The sequence below is a fragment of the Homo sapiens genome, chromosome 1 (assembly GCF_000001405.40).
Source record: "Homo sapiens chromosome 1, GRCh38.p14 Primary Assembly".
NCBI lineage: Eukaryota > Metazoa > Chordata > Mammalia > Primates > Hominidae > Homo > Homo sapiens.
This window is the reverse complement of record NC_000001.11, coordinates 49014269-49025018: the sequence shown is the minus strand read 5'-3', so window position 1 is coordinate 49025018 and position 10750 is coordinate 49014269. Positions and strand designations below refer to the sequence as shown.

General features: G+C 41.0%; 1 protein-coding gene across 10 annotated transcripts in view; it reads left to right on the top strand.

The window, feature by feature from the left end:
* The window catches only part of AGBL4 (AGBL carboxypeptidase 4), a 1501444-nt gene that overhangs the window by 998936 nt on the left and 491758 nt on the right, over nt 1-10750 (top strand). The window lies entirely within an intron of this gene.

Below are 10750 nucleotides of genomic sequence, written 5' to 3'. Positions count from 1 at the left end.
TTCCTCATACATTAGCACCCTACCCTCTACCCCGATAGATATCCAGAGAAACCCCCTATTAGTTAAAATGTAAGTAGAACGATCATCAAGGCTGGAGCCATATGGGGATTTGAATTTTGGCTATCTCAAATAACCTCTCTAGAGTCACCAGCAAACTAGACATTGTGACTTAGCTTAAGGGTTTCTGTGATGACAAGAGGCTTCTAGTAGATATTGGATAACAGAAGTGAAATTGAATTGTTTGTAAGTTCTTGGATATAACGCATTTGTAATACCATATCTCCCTTAGACTCCAAGCTCCCCGAAGGCATACAATTTGTCATATAAAAATTAAACCAGCTAACATTTATAGAGTGCTTACTACATGTCAAACATGATAATAGGTTATTTATTTTCTCAGTCAAACCTTCAGCAACTTTATGAAGCTGGTACTATTATTTTCCCCACTTTGAAGATGGGGAAACTGAGGCACAGAAAGGTTAAGTAACTTGTCCAAGATTACCCTACTAATAAGTAAAATACTTGTATAGAAGAAATTAAGGAGTAGATGACTGATGAGGAATGAGAAAGGAACATGAAAACCTGGCTGGGGAATCAGAAAGAATTGCTATGGGGAAGTAACGTTTGAACTCTATCTTACAGGGTATATAATGGGTGAGAGCATGGCATATTGGAGATGTGGTAAAGAGTAAAGATTGGAAAGACATCTAGAAAGTTAAATGATTCTCCCTGTCATGTTCAGGATTGGCTGAAGTCTGTGGAGAAGGATGTTTGAGAGTGCGAGGAGGAAAGATAAACCATATTAATCCATTAAATATATATCTTGAGCCAACCATATGAAAAATGGGCTGGGAACTAAGGAAGATACACTATCTATGATTATCTGTAATTTCTTTTTGTTAGTAAACTCAACTTATCAAAATTAATTATCTAAGCATTAACTTTTCTTCATCTTCTTGATTGACCCTATATCTTGGTCAGCTGCAGATACCTTGCCAATTGCTCTCAGTTACTAGCATTTACCTCTCAAAGTGAAAGGTACAACAGCCTCCTGCTTAAGCAAGTGGGAGACTGAACTTAGTTTCTCAGGACACTTCTTTCAGATTAAAGCTATTAAGAAAACCTGATGCCATTGAAAAATCATTGAGGTAATGTCCTCACATGTTTTAATTAGAGGGCAGAGGTAGGCAAAGGAAGAAGGCATACATAAGAAGGGTACAGTTTTAGATGTTAGACAGTTTGGGATTCTGCCATTTATAATATTGGTGGCTATGAATAAATTATATGTGAAAAGTTAATGGCGATGGATAAGTTACCTGTAGCTGACCTTTTGGATTCCAGGGCTTCTCACCTTCTAAACAAGGATAATAAATACAACTTTGCAATGTTGTCATGAGGTTGCAATTAGAGTTAATATAGTAGAGTGCTGTCATATTAAGAGTGCTCAACAAATAATGATTATTGTGGCTTTTATTGGTAAAGTCCATATTTGAAATCTTAAAATCATAGTATTTTGGAGATAGGAGATCTGAATAAATCATTTGGCCCAACTTACTCTTGGGCCTATTCCAATTTTAGAAATTGAAATTGAGGGCAAGGGACTCACTCAATTCACACAGCTGGATAATACCAAAGCCTGAATGAGCTGCTGGATCTCCAGTACCCCCTGATTCTAGGACCTTAAAGATACCCATACTAACTGAGCCTGCCTCATTAGTTGCTGGCCCAGACCTGAACCTTGACACAGTCTTGGCTTTTTTCATCTAAACCTTGTCCTGATTTCATGGGGCCTCCAGGCCTCAAGGTAGAACATACTCTCAGCATACCTTCCTGCTCCCAAGATGGCCTGAGCCCTTCTCCATTCCTAAGTTAAAAGTAAGGATGACCAGGTAAGTAGGCAGAGCTTTTCTCTTGTTGACTCAGGTCCATGGTCAACATAGATTCTCCATTTCAATGTTGTAACCCTTTTACTATGCTTTCAATATGGCTTAATGAAAAGACCAAGGGCTTTTATTTAAGAAGGACTTGATTTTTAGTGCTGCTTGCACTGTTTTCAACATTTATCTCTGGACAAGTTCATTAAACTCTTTGATCCCCAGTTGCCTCATTTGTAATTTGGAATTGTTCATAATTGTTAGGAATTGTTAGGAAAATTAAATGAGTGACTAGCAAAGAGCCTAGCATAGTGCTGGTACACAGTAGGTATTCCACAACATATACATGAATAGTAATATACACCTTATTAATACCTATTTCTCAGAAAGACATTTGTATGTGTCTTAAATAAATCAATTCTTCCAGATGGACCCATCTATTTTGCCAAGAAGAGTAAGTTCACATGTCAATAGGAATTGAGGAGAAGGTTACAGGGGCTGAGAGAGGCATTCTACAGTTTATCAAGGAACGAGCTCCAACTCATTACTGCTAGATAAGCTATCATTATAGCAGTCCTGGATGTGGGTCTCCCCCATTAGCCAGAGAAGTCTTCAAGAGAAGTGTTTGGGATTTTATTCCTCTTTGTGGCTACAAAGAGGTAGGTATGACTGATGAATGCTCAGTAGGTTCTCAAAAAAATGTTTGTCAAATCTATTAATTTATATCTCTTTTAAAAGGAGAAACTGCTAGGAATATTCGGGTTCCTCATTTGCCTTCCCACCGAGATATTATTTCAGAAAATGGAACCTAAGAATTCTACCTTTTTTTCTTGATAGCATCTTGGATTGGAATAATTTATTGAATTCTGGATTCTTGTTTTCTAAATTATTTAACTTCATCCTGCACTATCATTTGATTTTTTCTGGCTTATTTACCATACCTTGGCATTAAAAGACAATTATTTTGCTAAGAAGATTAAATAGAGGTTTCCAGTATCTTTCCTACATTAAAGTGGATAATAAGATATTAATATGCACTGCAACCATTTGAATCAGCCTTCTCTTTTTCATTCAATAATATTCATATGTATTTAAAAGTTTCTTAACTTTTTCTAACTAGGTCAGCAGAATATTACTCAATCTTGATATTGTTGGTCCAGGCTGCCATTTCACAGGGATGGAGGAAAAACAGATGGCTGGGAGTCTATCTGTTTCTCCAATTCATGATACTTGCACTACAGGCAGTTGAAACAAAGTTTGGACCCAGAGAGACCCTGAAATATAAGTCTTCTAACACCCTATTTTCCCAGCTAAGAAAACCAAGGCCTAAGGACAGAAAATGTGTAAAGTTCCTAGGAGCGTGACCTTGGTTTTCTGATTGGGAGTCTTATGCTCTTTGAATGTCAACAAAAAGGAACAATTTTCTCCCACATACTATGTCTTGGTCAGTGTTGGCTGCTATGACAAAGTACCATAGACTAGGTGGTTTATTAAAAACCGGAATTTTTTACTCACAGTTCAAGAGGCTGGAAGTCTGAGGTAAGGGTGCCAAAATAGTTGGCTTCTTTTAAGAGCTGTCTTCCAGATTGCATATTGCTGACTTCTTGCTGTATCCTCACATGACAGAGAGAACTCTAGTCTTTTTGGTTCCTTTTAAAGGCACTAATCCCATTCATGAGGGCTCCACCCTTATGATTTCATTACCTCCCAAAGACTCTACCTCCAAATAACAATACATTGGGGATTTAGGCTCCAGGATAGGAATTTGGAGAGGGAAGGGGACACAAACGTTCAGACCATAGCACACCATGAGCTAGGCTCTACTTTTATCTTAATTCATGTGATCATTTCCTCTTTATAATTAAAAATAGGTTGCGATTATTATTCTCTGAAACATGGGAAGAAACCAGGGCTTGGGTTCACTAACTTGGTTGAACTCACATAGCTAGCAACTGTTAGAATCAGGATTTGTACCCAGATCCGTCTGACTTCAAAATGTTTGCTCTCTATGCTGCCCGAATCCTTTCACTGACTACCTCTGTGTTGCTGTAGGAACCTAATAGGATCATGGAAATATTCACTGGTAGGGAGGGCTTTATCCTTATGCCTCTAGGGCAGTGCAATATTGTGTCTGAAGCTCTAGTTTGTCTTCTCTCAGACTTGCATCAGAATCTAACCTGCCTCCATTTTCTTTGTGACTGTTCTCCTGCCCTTACTTCCCTGAGTTTCCTGCCATTAGTCTAGTTGAGGAGGCTGATTCAGTCTTTCCAGGTCCTTCCCCACATCTTTGCCCCATTAAACAAGGCTATGGGCCTTCCTGTATTTTAGGATTTTCTGTTACATCCTACAGGCACAGAGCTGGGAAACAAAATAGCAGATGAAGGTACAGGCAAAGGTGAGAAAACTGTCCAGGTTCTCTTGGAGTTAGATCTTGCTCTGGGCTCCTGTTTCTTTTCAGTTATCTCTAAGTGGGTAAAGGCTCATCTGGCTGCCCTTACCTCAGGCTCACCCTTGCTAAGAACTAGGAAGCCCTCCTCCTCCAGGACACCCCCTGCCATGCAGTCTGAGGGCCTGAAAGTGTTCAGGAAGACTGATAGGTGTGTTTCCATCTCTGAGATCTCCCTCAATACTGGAGCCTCCCATATCATAGAGTCTTTGCCCTGCCCACATCTGTTCTGCTCAAGAGTAGTCCTTTCTGCTTATTTCCTTTTAGAACTGGTGAGACCCATCTTGGACAGATGATCACCTGTCAAGGGTACCACAGGATGGCTTCTGCCCTGAGATGGAAAGTGTGGATGAGGTTCCATGAAGTTGTTTACAGGCCCAAGGGCTGATAATTCTTTAATAATGTGTCTACATTTTCTTTGAAGACTCAAAAGTGCTGTGCCCAAGTGAGAGGGCATTGTTATTAATGCTATTAGTTTTGTTGATGGTGACAACAGCCACATTAGTAAAACTAACCATGCTGCTCTCTCAACACAGAGGTTTTAGAGTCAGACAGATCGCATTTGAATCCGAGATACACCACTAATTCATTACCAAATTAAGAACATTATTCCATATCACTCAGCCTCTTTCTTCATCTGCACATTTGCAAAATAACCCTTACTTTTCAGGGTATTTGTCAGGGGTAATATAAACCAAAGCTAACATTTACTGAATGTGTATATGTGCCACATATGGCACTAGCTAAGTTCTTTGTGTGTATTATCCTGCCTTTTAAAGCGTGCGCCCTTACTCTGTCCATTTTAAAGATCAGGAAACTGAGGTGCAAAGAGACTAAATAACTTGCCTAAAATCACACAGCTAATTAGAGGCAGAGTTGAGACTTGCAATATGAACCTAATAAATTTGTCTCAAAAGTCTGTGATTTAAAAAATATTATGTCTAAAAAGCAGCTGCCATGTTGCCTGGAACACATTAGATTCTCAACTGGTAACTATAATTTAACAGCATGTTACATTTCTAAACAGCTACACAAATGCAAAGTGTTTGTTTTTGTTATCCTGAAGACTTTGTTTCTTTCTCGTCACTTAGTAAGGAATGCCTAAAAAGCTATGTTGCAGGAAAAGGGAGTGAGATTTGGTATTTACCTGGTTACCTTGATCAGGGTAGACAGCCACATTTGACAATCTTGGCTCCAGTTAATTTATTTCTGGAAACCTAAATTATTCATTTACATTTTCTACACTGATTACATTGACCTGAAGAAGAAATGCCAAAACAACATCTCATTTATGCTGGCTATGGGTCAGGCTGGTTTCAGAAGAGAAACTGCTTTCCTTGAGGTGGGGCCTCCTCCTACTGATGTCCATGTGGGGAGGATGAGAGGAGCAGGGAGGTGTTATTGTCCCCAAGGTACATGCTATCCTGAAACCCCTGGAAGTCTCTTCAGGACAGAATTTTCCTTCGTATGGCATATAACCCGTCTCTTATCCAAGAGCAGAGTTTTTCCACAGCATCCCAGTGAGTGGTTATTCAGGCTCTACAGACACTCTTTCAGGCACAGAGAACTCACTACCTTCAATAATAGCCTATTCCAACTTGTGATAGCTCATACTTCCTATTCTCCTTCTGTTAAGCCAGAGAAGGAGTCACTGTGTATCTTCTCGAATGTACATACCTAAGGAGCCCAGGGACACGGAGAAGCCAGAATCGTTTGTTTTTTTGGTTTCTGGTTGTGATGGGATGTCAATGTAGGAGTTTACACAAAGGAATAACAGGGTCAAATATTTTATATTAAGTAATTTGGGTTGTTATGTGGAGGATGGATTAAAGGTCAGAGAATATTGTTAGGGAGTTCTCTAACAATTATGACACTAGCAGAAAACATGGAAAAGAGTTGAAAAATTCAAGAAATATCTAGGAGTTAAAATTCACAGGATCTGTGATTAGTTGAATGTTGTAGGTGAGGAAAAGAGAGGAATCAAGCATTATTTCTAGGTTTCTGGCTTGTTTAAACTGGTGAAAGATAGAGCCACCAAAGGGGTAAAGAAGGGGATTATAAGGAATGTGTTAAATTCAGCTTGGATGCTCAGGACCCAGAAATGTCTGACAAATGTGTGTGTCTTTCTAAGGGGATTTTGTCATGTCAGGAAGAACTTCCAAACAATAGTTAGTATTGGAAGTTAAGTGGGTGGTGACATAGTGCTTCTCCTCCCTTCTGTTTATTACCACTACCTCAGGCATGGAAGCATCCTTCAGGCTCTAGGAGAAGAGGTGGCAAGGGTCTGAGTTGGGGCTTGCCAGGTTTAGGTTCAGACTGACCTTGAATTCCAAGAAAGGTATTCTTGGGAACTCTGACTCCATTGGTATGTAAGGGTTTGGGGCTCACCTCCACTGGTATGTAAGGATGTGGGGGCTCACCTCACGTGTGCCTTCTAACCCAGGACAACAAGACTCCACCTGTAGAGGAGACTAAAACTGCTTCTGTACTCTCTTCCCTGTTAGGACTGGCTCAGAAACTGAGCACAGCTAATCTTCCAGGTGGAAGTGGTAGTGCCTGCAGAATCAAAGGCGGGGTCAGGTAGGAGCTAATAACTTGTGCCTCTTCCTACTTCCTACCTGGTCCCTTATTCCTAGGTTTTAGGCTTACTTGACCTGGTTTTGGTGTAACTGCAGCTCCTCGGCTTGTCATGTAGGAAGAGACCAGGCCTATGACAATGGTGAAGGGGAATGAAACAATGAACAGAGATAAACAGGGAGATCTTCCTCTAGGTTGTCTTCTCTGAATGCCAGTTCCTAAGTCATTAGTTTTTCTGGGCCCTGAAACACCTTTGGTCTGTGGCCAAAAGCAATATTTGAAGTTTCCCCAGGGTTAGTGCTCTATTTACTGCTCCTGCCCCCTCTCTGGAAGTTACTGTGTATCCACTGGACTCATTATTTTGTTATTTTAATTCATTCGTTCAATATATATTAAGCACCTATCATGTGCCAGTCAGTATACTCAGAGGTAGTTATTGTGAGCAATCTAGACATGATTTCTGCCCTCCTGGAGTCTAAAGTTTAGTTGTAAGGTGGGAATAGAGTGGATGACTGGATGCTGAAGGAATCCATCAGGGTTTTTTGGAAGTAGATAGAGATGGATGGGAACTTTGTATCTTTTGCATGTATTCAGGGGCTCAAAATTATTTACATGTTTGAACTCCAAATATCTCCATTAGATGATATTATGCCACGTTAGAAATAGGAATCTGAAGTTAAGAGAAATTAAGTAATTCCTTAATATTACATATGTGCTAGGTGCTGCTCTAATCCAGGTTTGTATAATACCAAACCTTGTGATGGTTCTACTGTCATACCACTATTCTAAAAGTCATTCAAGAAACTCAAAGTTGTAAGCTCTGGGATCACAGGGTCTACTATGACTTCGGTTTCAAGGTTTTGCAATCTGATGTTCAAGAATGTGTTTAAAAGGATGCTCTAATTCTCCAACACTAGATGTCAACCGTAGTACATACTAGTACATGCGTGCATTTTTCTGGGAGAGGATCTGTAACTTCTACCAGACTTCCAGAGGTAGCTATGACCTGATATAGATCAAGGGCCACTACTTTACACCCTATTCTAGGCTTCTTCCTGTCCTTCTATGTCTACACCAGTGGTAGCTGTTTTTCATTAAAGGGGCAGTGTAATATATTGGAAAGACCTTGGAACAGTCAGGCAGGAGCTCTTGACACCATTCCCAGTCATACCATTAATGTGTAGTGTGGCCTTTCTTCAACAAATCTCTTCTCCTCATTGAGCCTCACCTGCCAGGACTGTGTGAGTCCATGTGTGGTCTCAAGGACAGTATCTCTCAGCTGGACTGCAAAGCACATTGCAGATTTCACACACTTGGTGGGCTCCAAGTGGCAATGTGCAGAATGACAGGCACTGAGCCTGGTAGTAACAGCTGGGAAGGCAGATCCCTGCTGTCAGGGTTCGCTGACGACCTGTTTACCCAACTACTATAGATCCTGAATAATTCTATCACATCCTGAATCTTTAGGCAGACAGCCTTTGAGGTCATGACCTCCAACTTTCCAGCCAATAGGAGCCAGAAGATTGGCCTCTTGCTCCTGAATCCCATCACTTGTGTCTTTAACATGAGTGTGGCCCCAGCTAGAATGTGCTTTCTTCCTCTTACAATGTCAAAACTCCGGCACTCTCAAGTGACTGAGTCAGTACTAAATATTTAATGCATGAAGTCTGCCTTCCCAGGGCCTTTGATCTGAAACTTCTTAAAAACATCTTAAGAGCCCTTCAGAAGCTGGTTACTATTTCATTACATTCACTTAAAATAGATTTATTTTATCAAAACATCCTGTCAGAAACCCTGAAGCTGGGATGAGTAACCCCCAGTGATTCTGACAGGACTGCCTCCCCGCATTAGGCACCCAGCATCTCTGGACAGCCCCACTGGCATGCTGAGGGGGTACAGCTGTCACAGGCATGCCCCTGATGACTCCAGAGCTGTGAGCAGAGGAGGTGGCAAGTCTTGTCAGAAGCCTTGGGAAGCTGCATCAATAACACCCACATGAAGGGAATGAACATTTATTGAGAGTCTGCCACAAGCTGGGCCCTTACCTGGGGTACTCACTTTTTGAATCTTGTGGAATCGTCATTAACAGCCCTGTGAAGTGGGTGGTGGTGTCTATATTCTACCCATTAGGAAACTGAGGCTGAGGCTTGAAGGCATATGTGACTTACTCAAGGTCACAGAGTAGAATTAAGATGAAAACCTAGGTCTGGTTGAAAAGCCTATGTTTTTGTTTTTGGGGGTTTTTTTCCGCTGAAATTGACCATTTTACTGAAGACTCGGGTTTCTTTCTTTAAAACGAAAAAAATAAATGAAATAGCATTTTGTAAAATTATGTAAGTGGTACATGCTAATTCAAAGGATATAGAACGGAGTAAGGATAATGTTAAAAATCACTTGAGGCCAGGCGCGGTGGCTCAAGCCTGTAATCCCAGCACTTTAGGAGGCCTAGGCGGGCGGATCACGAGGTCAGGAGATCGAGACCATCCTGGCTAACATGGTGAAACCCCGTCTGTACTAAAAATAAAAAAAAAATTAGCCAGGCGTGGTGGCGGGCGCCTGTAGTCCCAGCTACTCAGGAAGCTGAGGCAGGAGAATGGCGTGAACCCAGGAGGCGGAGCTTGCAGTGAACGGAGATCGCGCCACTGCACTCCAGCCTGGGCGACACAGCGAGACTCCATCTCAAAAAAAAAAAAAAAAAATTACTTGAAATCCTATCATCTAGATAAATATTTATAATTATTTCTTGAATGAGATTAGATTTATTGATACTTTGCCACTTTCTGATTGTTTCTTTGTTAGCTTCTCATTTCACCTTTCTCAAACCCTACCATTCCCCCAGCTTTAGATAGCGGAAAGATGAGGGGAAAAGAAGTATGGCATGATTCTTTCTTCTACCACCAACCTAAGGGAACAAAATCAACTCCCCCCAAAAAAACCCCAACACAATCAGGGGCTAAAGTGGATGCCAGAGTGAAACATAAGGTTCTGTCCAGTTCCAGCCTCTAGGTGACCTAAGAAAAACCACTTTGTGCAAGAAATAGTCCTACGCAGTAGATTCCCAGAACTGGTGTGATCATCAGTGAGACTATGAGGTAGAAGTTTTTTGTAGGCTGGAAAATACTATGCAGATTTCTATGGAAATACTAGAAAGAGAAAGACTGTAAGAAGCAGTGTTATCTCAATACCCCTGGGTCCATTGGTAAGATAACTGTGTATCTCTCTCCTTCTGATCAGGATAGTCCTTACTTATACCTGTCATCCCAACATAATGAATAATAACATTGTCTTTCACTCTCAGAAGTGTCCTTATTTGGGTAAGTTATATGGCTACTGCTCATATATGATTAGGTAGCTCCATGAGAGAGAGAATGACAGACCAGAGCAATGAAGGAGGTTCCCTGTAGGGTGGGACTGCATGTGGGCTAGCAAAGCAGCTAGAGCTTTAGAAGGCATCAGTGAGAGGGAATTTTGTGCATGGTGACTAACAGGCAAGAAAAAAATAATATGAAGAGGCTGACCTGGCATGCAGTGGTCAATCTGTAAGAGGCTGGCCCGCCTTCATACAGAGGGCAGGTTTAGAAATAACACTGGGAGGAATTCAGCAGTGAACGAAAATGTGAAGCTGTGTTCTAAGTTTCCAAGCATCCCTCATAGATTATTTTCATGTTATAAAAGGGAAAACTGAGGCACAAGAGGATAAGGTATTCAGTGGCAGAGCTAGAATTGGAAGCCAAAGTTTTGGCTCCAAAGCCTGTACACTTAACGACAATATTATACTACCTCTTGGTCTAAAGCATTTAACTTGTATTTTATTGCTCTTTCCTCTGCCTGGAATGCCCTGTCTCACCAATTT